Below are 18,371 nucleotides of genomic sequence, written 5' to 3' on the forward strand. Positions count from 1 at the left end.
GCAGCTGGAGCAAGCCTTGTTAGGTTGGTTTTGGGAGAATTGAGGGAAATTACTTTGCAGAAAAATGATATCATATGTCCTCATTTTTTCCCTTCAAGTCATGAATAGAAAACAATACATTTTGTATAACAAACTTACATAATTATGGGAGTATTATAGTTATCCAAAAACAACTTGTCCAGAGAGACTCTGGCCAACCCAGACCCTAGCTGTAACTCCTGGGGGACCAAAGAATCAATAATAACATCAGGCTGCAAGCTAAAGACAATGTACTACAGGTTCTGAAGATACATCATCATCAAAATATCAACCTGAAGAAATCTAGAATTCAGCCAAGTAATGCAGTCCCTAGGTATATCGTTTGTTAGAACTGTTAAAATAAAATACCACAGACTAGGTGGCTTTAACAACAGAAATTTATTTTTTCATAGTTATAGAGGCTAGGAGTACAAGATCTAAGTGTAGGCAGGGCTGTTTCTGTGGAAGCTTCTCTCCTTGGCTTTTAATAATTGTCTTCCTCCAGCATCTTCTCATGGTCATTATTGTTTGTGAGTCTTTGTCCTAACCCCCTGTACTTATAAGGACAGTAGTCGCATTGCATTAGGGCCTACTATATGACCTCATTTCACCTAAATTACTTTCCCAAAGCCCTATCACAAAGTTCAGTCACATTCTGAGATACTTGAGGTTAAGAATTCAACATATAAATTTTGTGAGGACACAGGTCCATAATACTAGGTCTAATAAGAGATACAACTGAATTAATGATGTGATTTCACAAGCAATAGGACACTTACAAATGACCACGTCTACCTAAGGTTACAGAACCTTTGGTTTCCTGTTTATAAGTTGAGTCACTAGATATATCATCAAGGCTCTGCTTTCCTGAAAAACAAAATACCTAGAAAAATATCCACTGATGTGAAGGTCAAAATATCTGCCCCATGGTTTATTTCCAGATTCCTTTTGTGAGATCAAAAGCTATGTAGAGAAATAGAAAAAATCTTTTCAGCATGTTAAAATTAAAATGAATGACTTGAATATCTTATAGATAGAACAGTTACTCATTCCTTTTGTGACATTTGCCACTGTATTTTTCTCACACAGCCAGGAAATAAGCCAATTAAGTATAACCAATTGCTTATCTTAGGTAAAGTTCTATGTTTTTGCGGGTGAAATCTATATGCTGCCACTAGCCACTAACCGAGGAAGAAACCGCTTTTGTAGTGGTAACTGCAACATATACCAATGAGGTTAGCCCCCACCATATCCCTAATCAAGTTCATTTCTCTGGGGCACCTGAATGACATACTATTGTCAGCTACTCCATATTGGATCTTTGCTATGTTTTGTTATTGTTGTTGTGGGGTGTAGGTGTGTGTTTGTCATATTCAGTATTGTAAATGGAGCAAGAGCATCCAATACAGTACCCTTATCAATCACACTGTTCTCAGAAGTAAACATTTCAGAAATGTTGCCAGTAGCCAAGAGAGTAATTTTATAGTCAAATATTCTTAGAATTGTGATTTTTTAAAAGAGAAGAGGAAAAAAATCACCTTAAATTTACATCTCCCTTACCACTCTTGTCTCAGGATGCTGGTATAAGCAAGAAGTAGAGAAAATATATATATTTTTTAAATTAGAAATTTAAAAACAAAGAGACTAATAAAATTTCCGGAGTGCTGGATACTAGTAAACTACTTTTGATATCAGTGGAAGGGCCACAGCAGTAATTCAGCCACAATATAGACAGGTTCAATTTATCTCAACATTACATTTAATTACAAATTAGCCATAAATTATTTTTCTTCCTGGATAATTTGGATAGCTCATATTTGTTTCTGGATTGACAGGGCAAGAAATTATAACCATATAGGGTATTAGCACCCCAAATATACAGAAAATATTAAGTTATTATTAAATGACTAGAGGAATAACATATTTGGATGTGAAATCTTCTACATTACCTTATTTGCGTTATGGATGATACACTACTGCAGCCCAGAGCTTGGTAGCAGTTATAGCCATGGATCCTGGAGATATGGAAGGATCAGCAAAGTTAAGTAATTTTATGTACTTTGAGTATTGTGGCAGGCATGTACTACAAAGGTCCTCAATAATATCCACTGCCTCTTATTCACAACCTTGTATAATAGTGTCTCCCCTTGAGTATAAGTTAGCCTAGTGAGTTGCTTCTAACCAATAGAATAAAGCAAAGGTGATGGATGGATGGAAAGGCTATTCTCATGATTAGGCTGCATAAGTCTGTTACTTCTGTTTTGACTCTTCCCTTTGCTGAGTTCAGTAAAGCAAACTGCATGTTGGAGAGGCCCAAATGGCAAGAAACTATAGGTAATTACAGTCAAAGCAAGAAAAAGAGGTCCTCAGTCAAACCTCCTGTGAATACTTTTCCGTGGAAGTCAATCCCTCCTTAGTTGAGCCTTCAGATGAAATGCAGGCCTGGCTGACACATTAATCACAATCTTGTGAAAGAACCTGAAGCAGAAGATCCACCCATGATATACCCTGAGGTATGACCCTCAAAAACTATGTGATGATAAACACGGGTTCCTTTGCCACCCAGTTTGTGGTAATTTGTTATGCAATGACAAATAATTAATGCAGGGACCAAACACAAACTGATGGGGTTTGGAGACAAAAGGGAGGGAGGGACTTGTGATTTCAGTAAAGGATGTAGAGAGCTAGAAAGGACATCACACCCACTCTTACAATGCAAAGTTCAAGACAGGCTTCAAGTTTATGACATGCTGAATGTGTCAGAGAGCTCTATTTAAGGAGGGGTGAATGCCTGTAAAGAGACATAAATGTGGGACAGCTTTAGCTAGGTTAGAGGCAACAGAACACAAGAAAGAAGAGTGTAGCCAGGATTGTTCCCTAATTGGAGGAGGCCAAGTGTGGACTGGGGAGTGTGAATCCCCTAGGGCTTTTAACAAATGGAGGCATCTGTATCCACTATAGACTTTTTCTTTATGAACCCTACTGAGCACTCGCAGAATAGATTGGAGAAATTTTAAGGGTATGTCCCTTTTGATGCATACCTGGGAGAACGGAAGCTGCTGCATGAGAGACAAGAAGTTCTACCCAGAATTTTATTCCTTTACTTCCTAATAAAAACAAATCTTCAGTTTATTGGGGTAAGGGCACAAACACTGTCAGAGAACTAGGGAAAGCCCTTTTCATCTTGAGAAAAGGACCAAAATCTAAATAAACCTATACCTTGTTAAGGAGCAGGTGTATATGCTGAGCTAAGCACTAAAGCTGGTGGAAGTTCAAAGTATTAGAAAAGACCACATTGCTGAGATCCACTGAGGCTACATTTAAGGAACAAAGAATGTCTGCCCGTCCCCAGCCACTCCCATTCCCACGAGGCTAACAAAAATCCAGTAACAATGATAGTAAAACACTGGTGAGAGGTAGAGAAGGAAAGAACTTGTAAGACGGCCATCTCTGAGATGCTAAACATAAGTAAGACCTAAAGCTAAGGGTAGAGCAGACATTGAGTAAAAATAAATATTTAATCAGAGCAGCCCCTCCCATTTCAAATACAAATTATTTCTATAAGAATTTGACACCTGGGAGTACTAAGAACAAATGTAAAAAAGGCAAGACTTGAAACCTGGTCCATTTCCTAATCATAATAGTTCAAATTCTTACATTAAGTGACAATTGAAAGAGAGAAGGTGTAGTCATTTGTAGGCATAAAAGCTGTCATTTTATACACTGTAGTTCAATTTAACTTATGGCATAAAAAAGAAATATATGAGGCATACATAAGTCTAAGGAAAGCAATACACACCCAAGATCCAAAGTCAGATTCAGATAAAACATCAGTGCAGGATCTCCCTATCTATGATAAATACGTTGAAGTCTTTCAGGGAAGGTACAGAACATGCAGGATCATATGGGTAATGTCAGAAGAAATATGAAAATTATAACAAATAATTAAAAATTATAGAAGTGAAAACAGCAACAAAGACGATAAATGTGTTGCACTGGCTTGTGATAGTTTCATGTGTTGAATTGGCTAGGCTATAGTATCCAGTTATTCAATTAAACACTAATCTAGGTGTTGTTCTTGAGTATTTTATAGATGTAGTTACAATCAACAATCATTTCACTTTAAGTAAAATAAATTATCCTTAATAATTTGGATGCGTATCATCTAATCAGTTAAAAGCCATGAGAGCAAACAGGTTTCACTGTGGAAGAATACATTCTGCCTCAACACTGTAGCCTCAGCTCCTGCATGATAGTATATAGCTTAATGGCTTGCCCCACAGATAGACTTTGTCGTAAAACCTTCCACTCATTCTCTATTCTCCCCGCTCTTCCCTCTTTAAGTCGGACTGATTATACTTCTCTCACTGATGCAGGGCTTATTAGTATACTCAACACGTGAACAAAGAATAAGTGAGTCTAGGTTAATAGAAATTACCCAAACTGAAACAGGTCCAGAGATAATAGGGATATGGGGCAAAATAGGGCATCCAATAGCTATGGGAGAATGTCAGCAGAGGTACAGAAGCACTAGTAAAGGCTATGTTCCTGAGACCTAGCAACATGATGCCTATGTGATTGTAAAAAAGAATAGAATGAAAGAAATATTTGAAGAATAATGCCAAAACATTTTTCAAAATTAGTGACAGACAACAAGCTGAAGAATCAAAACCTTCAGAGAGCATCAAGGAGTATAAAACATGGAGGAATATCACATTTAAATAAACAATATCAAAAAAACATATATAAGTCTTGAAGGTAGTCAGAGGAATATAAGATAGTATATTAAACAAAAAAGTGAGAATGACACCAGATATCAGAAACCATGTTGTCTAGAAGACAATATATTGACATCTGTAAAGTGCTGAAAAGAAAAACAAAACAAAACCTGTCAACCCTGAATTCTGTATCCAGTTAAAATATCTTCAAAAGTTAAAAGGAAATATAGACTCACGTTTAAAAATGAATAAAGTCATTCATTGGCACAACACCTGAATCAACACAACGAAACAGAGCATGCTAGCACTGAATTAAATAAAGGCAATATAAAATATGTTCTTTTTATTTCTTAAAGCTATATTTTTACCAACTTTAAAAGATGATTGTCGGCCAGGCGCGGTGGCTCACACCTGTAATCCCAGCACTTTGGGAGGCCGAGGTGGGCAGATCATGAGGTCAGGAGATCGAGACCATCCTGGCTAACATGGTGAAACCCCGTCTCTACTAAAAATACAAAAAATTAGCCAAGCGTGGTGGCGGGCGCCTGTAGTCACAGCTACTTGAGAGGCTGAGGCAGGAGAAAGGCGTGAACCCAGGAGGCGGAGCTTGCAGTGAGCCGAGATAGCGCCACTGCACTCCAGCCTGGGTGACAGAGCGAGACTCTGTCTCAAAAAAAAAAAAAAAAAGGATGATTGTCTATGGAAAAGAATAACAAACAATTTTGTGTTCATAAAAATATAAAGATAAGATGCATGACAAAAATCGGACAAAAGATATATACAAAGGATTGAAAATACAGTGGTCCAAGAACCTTAAACTACATGGCAAGCAGAATAAAATCATTTTCAGGCAGCCTGAATAAATTACAAATTAGCTGAAGCCAATATGAGGACTAGAGTATGGCAAGATTTTTAATTCTATCTTCTCAGCCTAAAATAAATTATACAAGATCTCCTTGCACTATCTTCTTACAGTATCTCCTTAGATTGTAATTTGCCCTTAAACTATCAATTAACCTATACACAATTCTGCAATTATGCTATCTACTTATAAGTAGTGGAACTGAGGCACAAGTAAAAATGTACTTTGTATTCATTTCTCGTAGGGCTTAGTCTAAAGATAATGGAATGCAGCTAACATTCAAGGCTCTGGAATATGATGACAAGCATTCTTAGGACTGTCAGTTCAGTGGAGCAACTATATCAACTCTACCAGGACTGTTTTCATGATTGTATTTTTCTTTTCTTAGTCTTATTATCATATGGTCTCAATATAGATCCTATATCTTTGTTGCAATGCCTGCATTTCATCAGGGAGAAAGAAGAGGAGAAAGGTGTTTGACTATATAAGAAAAATTTTAAAAATATCCCAGGATGAGTATATCAGAAATCATATCAGCCAGAATCTAGCTACTTGGTCATCTCTTGCTGGAATCCTATAAGAAAGAACCTAAAAATAGATTGGATCAGGCCTAACAGTGTCTGACACACTATACTTGTACAAGGTATGTAAATTTGTATCTAGTTTATAATCAACAACATAGATCTTACAAAATGTATTACTACGTATCATAGAATTTGTTTTGTCTTCATTGGTCTCCATCAGCTCCTTTTTGATTACCTATTTTTCTTTGCATGTCAAAATGAAGAATAGATTTTAATATCTTTTTTATTACTATGCAGATATAATTTTTACTGCATAATTATTATTAAAACAATTATCCTAAATCAAAATCATTTGATGATACATTTATACTTTCTTGGGTTTTTTCATTTTTCACATTCATAGCTTACATGTAAATTCAGTGTAACTAATATTATAGAAAAATTTTGTTGTGAGATATACATGACATTTTTTTATTTTAAATTATATCACTATGTCATAAGTATCTATACTTAACTAAGGTACATTCCATGGATTGAAATCAGTAAAAAGCTCTGCTAGCTGGGGCTGCTACTTACTTTTCAGCTTCTAAAAATGCATTAGCACCCATGGCATGGATGTCTGAATTTCTCCTGTTGTAATTCACTGTCAGAGAAAAGTACAGTTGAAGAAACATACTATTATTTTATTCTTTCCAAGTCAAATATTAGAGATTTGCTATTTGTAACCCTGATATCTACTTATTTCAAAGCTTATTTGTTTAATTTTCTTTTTACTATATACAATAATATGTTTTCTGAAAACAAATTGACTTTTTATATTTAGAATGTGCTTCCTGTAACTAGTGGTTGAAAGAAAGCGTCTGTCATATTATGTCAGCTTTTCCTCTCTGATCCCCTAGAGGGATGATCTGAATCATTAGTTTATAATCAGTTTTTTTGTTTTTAATTAAACATCAGCCGTATGATTGAGTCAGGCAAAAACAGATTTTGCTCCTGGTCTCCAAAATAAATAGATTTATGGAAGTAATGTTTGGCAAAATATTTAATAGGCTAATAGTAATAAATTTTATAAGAAAAGCATGACTTGGAGATTTCCATACATTAATTACTTTTAGGAAAGAGCGAGAGTTTGAATTGTGTAATGTTAAACAAAATGTTATTGATCAAGTCATTGCTATAATTCAGATTTCAATAAGTATAATACATAAGTTGATTTTAATTATGCATTCAATTTTTTCTTTATTAATTTATTCCATCAATTATTTATTCAATCACAGCATTAGCAAATTTGCTAGTCTATGTCAGTATGCTGGTATATATGATTGTACGTGTGTGCATGCGTGTGTGCATATGCATAACACCTGTAGTATATTTCTATACATTCAACAGTTGCAGATGAAATCTAAACTAGTATAAATTATACTGTAAAATTTACTGTAAAAAACACTGTAAAATTTACCATCTACTAGTAAATGCCCAAGAAAATGCATTTTTATTCGGCTCAGCTTAAACACAGACACAAACATTTAGCAAGCTTTGTGCTTAATGAATAAGTGAAACATAGACACTTATAGAGAATATTTATTTGCAAATAACCAGAAATCTATTGAAGAAAATATAGTTTTAAATTCTTTTGAATAAATCTACCAAAACATTTATTAATCTTGGGTTGGAATGCTTTTATTCATATATATGATGAAGAAAAACAGTATACAAATACGAAATTATAGAACACAACACTAATCAGATTTAATAACTAAACTATTAAGCATATCTATATATCTACCTATCTACACACACACACACACACACACACACACACACACATATAAAGATAAACAGAAAGAGCAAGGTAAAAATTAGGAAAACATCATCAACAACAACAAAAAAAATGAAACAAACCTACAAAATATCAGATGGAAAACTGAAACTGAAAATAGAAATTAATAAATTAGTAAACAATAGAGATTTTAAGTATCTTACTCTGAAAAAAATCAAGCAGATCTATTTGATTTACCTTAAAGTAAAACAGAAAACACAATATTCAAGTACATGCTATTAAGAATTAAATGTTATGTAATTCTATACCAAGAAGATATGAATATTTACTCAAATCTATAATAATTAAATTCAGAACTCAAAGAACTCTATTTTTTTCTCAGAAAATAAAATGGAAAAAACCAGTTCAACATTTGGCCTGAAATGAAGTGATAGAAACCTTTGAAGGAAATGATAAAAAATTGCAATAATTTTTTTTTTTTTTATGAGTTGGAATCTCACTCTGTTACCCAGGCTGGAGTGCAGTGGCGCGATCTCAGCTCACTGCAACCTCCATCTCCTGGACTCAAGTGATTCTCCTGCATCAGCCTCCCCAATAGGTGGGATAACAGGTGCCTGCCACCACACCTGGCTAGTTTTGTTTTTTAATAGAGACGGGGTTTCACCATGTTGTCCAGGCAGGTGCAATAAACTGTTTTTATGACTTTGCATTGTTATGGTAGTTTTTAGTAATGGTAAAAAAGATATTTGTATATATTCAAACCCATCAAATCATACTTCCAAAACATCATGTTTGCTTACAAAATATGCTTTAATGTAAGACCAAGGTTATTCTGCATAGCATGACAGCATACCCACTAAAATATTCTCCCTTCTCTAATTCTCACTAAAACAACAAAATATTTTATACAAATTTTAAATCTTGACATTTTCAATATTAAACATGTAAACTTTTATTAAATCTTTATATACTAGTGCCATAGTATATAGTATATTTTAATACCTTTTTTCTTACTATGCAGATGTAATTTTTACTACATATTATTATTATGTAGTATGGGTGCACCTTAGTCTGCTAGCCTATGTTCTATCTTCTGGGTCAGCAGCTTACTTTTCACTTGTATTCATTCTATCTAGGATTTATCATAACAAGTATTGTTTCTGTTATCAGTTAAGATATCCTCAGCTCTGAAAAAGAGAAACTGGCTCAATGATGCCTCCAAATGTTCATTTCTTTTTTTTTGTCATATTGTTTATTTGTTTGATATTTGATCATTTATTTCTGCTTTGTTTTGCTGTGTTTTACTCTTGTTTTGTATGATTTTAAGCTTGCTTTCCCTTGTGGTTTTAGAATGGCAGTCAGCAGAGTTTGGAACTAAATGCTTTTGTTTCAAGTCCAGAAGAAATGAGAGGGAAAACAAATGAGCAAGACAAAAAAAAAAAAAAGTAAGCATAAAAGTCACCCAAATATGCCTGAAGCATGAGTTGTGAAGCCTCCCACTGAATCAAAGTGCAAAGATTTAAGCAGCTTTACTAGAAAAATTCCCAGTCAGAACTTTTTTAAGAAAAAATTATTCTTTTTGTTTCAGGAATAAGATGTCACCTTATTTCTCTGATTATATTAATTGTATTCATTTTAATGTTTTAGCCTCTATTTTTATGGTATTTCTTTAAAATGTTGATGCTACTTTTTAATTTTTATCATTATTTTTCTCTCCAAAATATATTGATTTGTTTAATAATGACCTCTGTGTAATCTCTTTGTAGTTCCATTTTCTCATCGGTTGTCTTCTACTGTTGTTTCCACAATTCACCATTGGGGTTTTCCTTCTGCCAGGCTTCTTGTGAGTTTGTAAAGCATAGAAAAATCCCTTTATGAGGTGCACCTTAGTCTGCTAGCTTTTGAGGGTATTCACTCCTCATTCCTACTGAAAGTGGACTTCCAGGGAAGAGTTATTTCTTAATAATACAATATGCCATATTCAGTGTGCTCTTCTGGAGGTAGCCACCTCGGTCTCTGATGTCTATTCTAATTTTCTGTGTGAATGGTTGGCAGAGATAGACTTAGGCAGGAGATCACTGGTTGGTGGTACTCACGGTAATACTCTGGCAAACATTGGCATTACTCCCAGCCCATCTTCTTGTGCTTATAGCAGAACATACCTAGTGTTCCCACTTTCATCTTTCAGTAATTGCTCTCAGTTCCTGCACTCCCTGGTGTTTCCTTTTTTTATTTAAGAAAATTATTCTGCTCTTTTAAGGCAGCTACTGTATGGTAGAGCAGCTTCAGTGAGTATTCACAAATTAGTGTAAAGCAGAATTTCTTAAATTCTTAAATGCAAAAAAATGTAAACAATAATAAAGGAAAAATTAGGAAAACAAATATACAACCCTGAGGTTAATAAGATCTTCCTAATTAAAAACAAATTTTGGAAGAACAAAAGTTCTTATAAATAAAGTTAAATAATAAATAGTACACTAGCGAATATATTGGCAATTAACATGCAGAGTTTAATATCCATAATGTATGAAAAAAACATAGCCAAAAGCTATATTAATAGAAACATTTTAAATAGGATATTCAAAAGGTCAATTAAAATATGAAAAAGTAATATTCAACTCCAGGTTTTAAATTTTGAACAAAATATGTGTCATCCTTGCCTCCATGCAGTTTAGTTTACTGAGGGAAATAGAAATTTAAAACAATATTTTATTTTAATCATTATTGGCAAACTCCTATCCCTTCATAAAACTTGCAGATACAGGAAATCCATTCTCTGAAAGAGTTTTTTTTTTTTAAATTAGAAAACAGAATGCAGTAGAGAGAGAGAGATGATACCATTTCTATCCTGTCTTTCCACCACACATAGAATGTATCATTGAAAGCAATAGATGAGGAATCAGATGTACCTATTTCTTCCAAATTTCTGGCAGAACTACTAATTGGTAAATTGTAGTGACATATACTAAAGTTAAAAAAAAAAGATAAGAAGATACTTGGGGATTAATTTTGTGGTTTTACTTCTAGTCATGTCAATTTGTAGATGAGACACATAGGGTGCATACATTTTTATTTAGTGCAATAAACTAAGTCAAGGAAGAACAATATAGGAGGCACCATAACATACATATTTTGAGTGCATTTTTTTGGTAGACGCAATTACCTTGATTTTAATAATGGTATCAAAGATATTTGTATATATCCAAACCCATCAAATTATACACAATCATATGTGTAGTTCTTTATATATCAATTATACTTTAATAAAGCTGTTTAAAACACAAATACTGATGGAATTATTAAAATAAATAAATTTGTAAAGGACAAAATACCCTCAAGATTTGGAAGAGAACTGATTTTTTATTTGACCCCAAGGGGAATCAAGTAGAAATCTATAAATCCTCTAAAAGAATGGCTGTACTTGCCCATTGATGTCAGTGTTCTTGAGTAAAAAAAGCCTAACACCCATGCACAAATCGTTCTCAGAGTGCAGAAACCTTCCTGTAGCATCAGAAAACCAAAAACAAAAAATAATTGTGATATTGCTTTTACAATAGCTCCTCAAAGCAACAACAAATTTTAATCTGCCAAACAAAAGCAACAACCAAAAACATTTCTTTTCTTTCTTTCTTTCTTTCTTTTTTTTTTTTTTTTTTTTGAGACAGAGTCTTACTCTGTTGCCCAGGCTGGAGTGCAGTGGCATGATCTCAGCCCACTGCAACCTCCATCCCCTGGGTTCAAGCGATTCTCCTGAGTAGCTCAGATTACAGGCGCCTGCCACTGCGCCTGGCTAATTTTTGTATTTTTAATGCAGACGGGGTTTCACTATCTTGGCCAGGCTGGTCTTTAACTTCTGACCTCATGATCCACCCGTCTCAGCCTCCCAAAGTGTTGGGATTACAGGCGTGAGCCACTGCTCCCAGCCAACCAAAAACATTTCCCACTAGAAAAGAGATATGACTGAACTTGGAAGAGCATTTATTAAAAGGTACGTGGTAATAGAAATAAGAATTTTAAAGGGAAAGAGAAAAGGAGTCATAAAAGTAAGCATATAATCAAAACAGTTTATTATTACAGGAGGAAGGGGATTTTAAATTAGAAGGAAGACTCAATAATGCTAAATACTATATAGAGTGATGAAAAATAAAAACTCCAACAGACCATTTATTATAGTCTTTTAGATCATACTGTGGTCTTTGAAAATCACTGGTGTTCATTTAAAGCATTTTGTTCACTGGATGGTCAGAGATTCTGTTTGCAAAATGTATTAGGCCATTTTTGCATTGCTGTAAAGAAATACCTCAGGCCAGGCATGGTGACTCAGGCCCATAATCCCACCACTTTGGAAGGCCAAAGTGGGCAGATCGCTTGAGGCCAGGAGTTCAAGACCAACCTGGCCAACATGGTGAAATCCTGTCTCTACTAAAAATACAAAATTAGCCCACCAGGTGTGGTTGCACACCCCTGTAGCCCCAGCTACCAGGGAAGCTGAGTCATGAGAATCACTTGAACCCAGGAGGCAAAGGTTGCAGTGAGCCGAGATTGCGCCACTGCACTGCAGCTTGGTCTGGGCAACAGAGGAGTGAGACTGTCTCAAAAAACAAAAACAAAACAAAACAAAACAAAAAACACAAAAAAACGGAGACTGAGTAATTTATAAAGAAAAGAAGTTTAACTGGCCCAAGGTTCTGCAGGCCATACAAGAATCATAGTGCTGGCATCTGCTTCTGGGGATGCCTTGGGAAGCTTACAGTCATGGCCCAGGCAAATGGAAAACAGGCACATCACATGGCCAGAATAGAAGCAAGAGGGAGAGGGTGGGGTGGTGGGAGGTGCCACACACATTTAAACAGATCTCAGAAAAACTCACTATCAAGAAGACAGCACCAAGCCACAAGGGATCCACCCCCATGATTCAAACATCTCCACCCAGGCCCTACTTCTAGCATTGAAGATTACAATTCAACATAAGGTACATCACAAAAGGATTAAAGATAAAGTAACTACAAAGTAAGAAACAGTAGTTACCAGATACATATATGGAAAATCCAGCGATCAAAGAGAAAGTCTTGATGATAGCTTGATGAGATGACATGATTGTATAAATGTTCTATTTAGAACAATGCAGAAAGTCTACTGAACTGTGATGGTCAAGAAAGAAATAATGGAGGAGACATGTGTCTTAAATATACAGGTTAAAATAGAGTAAAGTTGGATATTTAATCTCTTATGGAAGACTTAGATGTTACCCCTGTGGAACATGTACATAATATATACAATTATGATACCCTTTATTATCCATACCAGGAGACTTTTAAGAGTGAAAGTGGGACAATTAAGTTTTATACTGAGACAGACATGACCCAGATTGTTCAGTAACTGAAACCATATGGTCCTTTACCACACCACAGTTCATCACACCATAGTTCACAGTATAGCTCAGATTTAATCTGGCAATGAGTAGCAAGTCAGTAACTAAATCTTTGTTTTCTTCTTTGGTATTGCTTTTCTAAGTCTCCCTTGGAGTGCTGTTGTCTTGAGGTCTAGCAGTGATGTGCTGTGAGCACAAATGATATGATGTACTTCCAACATTGGTCTAGAAAAGTCTTCTGCATGCTATCCTTGAGTTTCCCATTTTGTGACCTGAGTTTCTTTCAGGGCCCAATATTAAAACAGTGAATCCACTAGGTTGAATTAGCATGGGTTACGAATATATGATGAGAGGTACAATACCTCCTCAGAGCTGTAGGTTAATTAGAAAGAATCTTCTACTTGTTTGAGAGACATTGTTCATCCGGAGGTTTGTTAAGCAGCTATTATTATCCAATAAAAACTTATTCTCAATACAATCCTTCAAATAGTCGCTACCCGTAGATTAAAGTGAATATGAGGGCAAAATTCTATGACCCATTTTGATAATAATGGATGAGATAGAAAACACAGATTAGTCTTTAAAAAGTAAAGGCACACCTTATCTACGATATAGGATAAGCAAAGGGCAAAAGAGTGCAGAGAAAAAAAATAACAGAGCCAAGAATGTAACTTAGGCTACATGATTTTATTTTGTTTATCCTACTGAAACAGACTGAGATTAAAGTTTCTACTCAAATAATCACATTTTAAAGGACACATTCTATAGGTATATATAGTTTATTTTTTTTAATGTATTTGTGTCCACCTTAAGCATTGCTGAAACTACTAATATTTCAACGTCTCATTCTGTCTTCTCATATTGTTGACAACTTGAGTGCAATATGGTAGAAAATTTTAAGCTCAAGGCTTACATTGAAACTTGTGTCAATTTGAAGTTAAATGAAATAATATAAAGCACTACAAGGTCATAGGGAAAAGAGTTATACATAAAAGTATGCTTGGTATATATTTACAAATAAAGTATTATATTTAATCTTTAATAATATAAAAACACATGGCAATCCAATCTGAAAAGATACATACTGTATGATTCCAACTATTTGACATTCTGTAAAAGGCAAAACTATCGATACAGTAAAAAGATTATTGGTTGCCAGGGGTTGAGGGGAGGAAGGAATGAATAGGCGGAAAATTTCTGGGAAAGTACAAAATTCTTCATGATACTGCAATGTTGGATACATGTCATTTTACATTTGTCAAAACCCAAAGATTATAACACTACCAAGAGTGAACCCTAATGTAAGCTATGGAATGACACTGACCTTAACAAATTGTCATTCTGGTTAGAATTTTGCTACTGGGGAAGACTGTTTTTGTGTTGGGTGTAGTGTGCTGAGAAAGGAACCAGAGGTATATGGGAATTCTGTACATTCTCAATTTTACTGTGAATCAAAAACTGCCCTAAAACCTAAAGTCTATTACAATATTTTAAAATGCATGTCAAACCAAAACATAAATTGAACCATTTCAAAAGATTTTCAATTTGAATTGAATTTTAACAGCTGCTTAAAATATTTGATAGTTTAAAATATATATATTTTAATATAATATCTCAAAAATTAATATAGTAAAGGAGGAAAACAGGAAAATGATCAGCAATAAAAATGGTATCTTTTTTCAGTATATTTTTGGATAATAGGGGTGATTTGTTATTGTTGTTTAATGTGCACAAAGGTGCATGTGTTGTGTCCCTTATTCAAAATGCTTGGAACCAGAAGTGCTTTGAATTTTGAATTTCAAAAATTTTTGCAATATTTGCCTATACATAATAAGACCCAAGTTTAAACATAAAATTCATTTATATTTTATAAACACCTTATATACATACTCTGAAAGTAATTTTATATAATATTTTAAATAATTTTGTTCATGAAAAGAAATTTGTGGTAAGTACGTGTTGAATTTTCCTCTGGGGTGGTCATGTTAGTGCTCAAAAATGATTTAGGGATGCTAAAACTTTATTATTTAGTTAACATAGTGCCAAATTATTCACAGATCTCCCATTTTGCATCTGTAGCTATATTTTATCTGTCATAATTAATGAAGCTCCACATGAATTTGCAGCCTTTTTGTAAATTATTAGAAATGATATATGATTCATGCATACATTCTTTAAGAAGCCTGTCACCTTTAATCAAGTTCATCATATTTCACAAGTCTATGACCTTGTGAATTTCATCTACTTTTTTTATTTCTTCATGCCTCATTTGAATAATCATCTATCAAACTAAATAGACACAATTGCATCCATAAAATTTACAAACATTCATCAGACTATGAAGAAAGGTCTGTTTTTAAGTAAAGAGGCACTTTTCCTTACTGGTTACATGCCTAAATGCATTGACTTGATTCTGAATACCATCACTGGGCACTAATGACCACATGTACTTGGAGATGCAGTGCAAAGAAGTCACAGAGTAGATGCAAAATATTTGAACCAAAAATAAAGTTGAATTAAATATGTTATTAAGAAGTCAAACAGTGAAAAATAGTGACTTGTAATCATAAAGATATGGACATGAAATTTGAAAATAATCATTGATTTTTATTCACTAGATGAGCAATCTTCTTTGGAATTCTGTAGGAGACAGGATACAGTTTAAATAAATATAATTTTAAAATTATAATTATTGATCAAAGATGAAAACATTTTTCTTAATCTTCGTTATATCTTTCGGGAATGACAGAACAATTCCTAAGAGGAGTTGGTCTAATTTTCTAAGATCTAAACTTTAAAATTATAATATATCAGTAAATGAAGATAATTACAAATTGTGGGCTAAATATGCAGCTTGCTCAATTAAATTTGTTATTTTCATGTGACTAAAGGATGAACCGTGAACACAGGTTTTTCATTTTATAGTGTCATAAAGAAGGCATATGAGTAGAGATAGAACCAACTCAGCACCCCAAACATGCACAGAAAAAAAAAAGGGAAAAGCCTTGTGTTTCCGTTAAATCTTGGATATTTTATACCTGTGTGGCATTGGTAAAGTACATTGGTTGCTCTGAAATTCATTTTCCTCACTTGTAAAATTTGTCAGTGATATCAGCAACATGGAGAATTAGGAAGCCCTGGGTTTCCTCATCCCACAGGCACACGAGTTTAGTAATATACAGAAAATCCTTTTTGTAAGAAATTCAGAGACCAATTAAGAGGCTCATGCTCTGTGAGCAAGTGTGAAACCAACCACCAAAACTGGTAGGAAAATTTGTAAAGTTATCTCACTATAACTTTCCCCTCAGTACATTGCCAAACAATTGCCAATTATTTGGCAATTGCCAAATTGGGAGAAAACTCCTGGCTCTCAGTCTTCTTGGGGAGGGAAGGAGAGAACTAGACTGTAAGTTCAATATTTTGACTCTTGGGAGACTGACCAAGAGACTGGTTTCTGTCTTGCCTGAATCTGAGAGCTAACAGAAAAGGGCCCCTATTGGGAACTGCTGAGAGCCAAGGTGGTGATTTACCAGTATGCACTCACTGGCCATTGCTCATTCTGCCAACTCAGCATAACAGGATCAGGAAAATTATCAGGCCCCAGATTCTCCTCAGGTAGATAAATATGAGACTGAAATATAAGCCCAGTGTTCATACATATGGTGATGGGGAGATTATCTGAGATACGCTACATGACTGGGGGTCACTGAAAACAAAAAATAGAGTCGGATGGTGTACAGCTGCTCCAGAAGACCCCTGGCACAACAGACAAATACTGGAGAGAATAAGAGATTACAGAGTTTTGAAAAAGAAAGGTAATAAATCCCTATAGGATATTACATGCACAAATCTGGAGAAGACACATCCAAAGAAAAAAATTGAGAGGCCTCTAGAATCTCTAGCCAGGTTGATTGATGTCTTTCATTTTACAAATTCAGTCCTTAAAGACTCGGAGAGGAAAGTTCTTTTTCAAACATATGAATCCCGCAAAAATCTGTCATGAATCATGAAGAATCGGAAAAATGTTTTTTTAATGAACACAATAGACTTCCAGATGTTGACCCTAAAAAAATGGAGATATGTGAATTTCCTGACAAGGAATGCAAAATGATCATCATAAAGATGTCAGTGATCTCAGAACAATAATGTGTGAACAAAATGAGAATTTCAACAAGAAATTAAAGGCACAGTGAAATGGAAAGACCTCCCATATTTATATATCAGAAGAATTAATATAAGTAAAACATCCCTACCATCCAAAACAACCCACATATTAAATTAATCTTTATTAAATTAAATAATCCCTATTAAAAGTCAACTAATATTTTTACATAGAAATATAAAATATATCCATAAAATTTATATGGAACCACAAAAGACCCAGAATAGCCATAAAAATCTAGAAAAAGTGAATGTAGCTGGAGAGCTCATACTTCCTGATTCCAAAACATATTATATAACTACAGTAATTGAATTAGTATGGTACTGGCATAAAGACAGAGTAATGAAACAGAATAGAGAGACTAGAAATAAGGCCACACATATACAGTTAATCGATTTTTAACAATGGTAAAAATAATACACAATAAAGAAAGGACAGTTTCTTCAAACACTGTTGTGAAGACTGGATATCCATATTCTAAAGAATAAAATTGGACTTTCATCTTACCATACACAAAAATCAACTCATGAAAAAACTTTAACATAAGACCTAAAACTCTAAAATTTCTAAAAGAAAACATGAGAAGAGAGAATCATGACATTGGACTTGACAATCATTTCTTGGCTAGGTGTCAAAAGCATAGGCAACAAAAGCAAAAACAGAGAAGTGGGGCTACATCACACTAAAAAGTTCTGCACAGTAAAAGAATAATGAACAGAGTGAAAAACTATGTATAGAATTGGAGAAAATATTTGTAAACTCAAAAGGATTTAATCTCCAAAATATATAAGAAACTCCTATATCTACATTTTAAAAACCCTAATAACCTGATTTAAAAAATTAACAAAGGGCTTGAATATTCATTTATTCAAAGACGACATACAAATATCCAAAAAGTATATAAGAAGAGGCGCACCATCACTAATTACCAGAGAT

At 34.2% G+C, this 18,371-nt stretch overlaps 1 long non-coding RNA gene across 1 annotated transcript in view; it reads right to left on the reverse strand.

The window, feature by feature from the left end:
* LINC01609 (long intergenic non-protein coding RNA 1609) overlaps positions 1 to 18,371 on the reverse strand; it is a 137,243-nt gene that overhangs the window by 15,607 nt on the left and 103,265 nt on the right. Inside the window, exon 2 of the long non-coding RNA NR_125418.1 lies at positions 1,968 to 2,033. This is a non-coding gene — a long non-coding RNA (long intergenic non-protein coding RNA 1609). The remainder of the gene's footprint in view (positions 1 to 1,967; positions 2,034 to 18,371) is intronic.

Source organism: Homo sapiens, chromosome 8, assembly GCF_000001405.40.
Source record: "Homo sapiens chromosome 8, GRCh38.p14 Primary Assembly".
Lineage (NCBI taxonomy): Eukaryota > Metazoa > Chordata > Mammalia > Primates > Hominidae > Homo > Homo sapiens.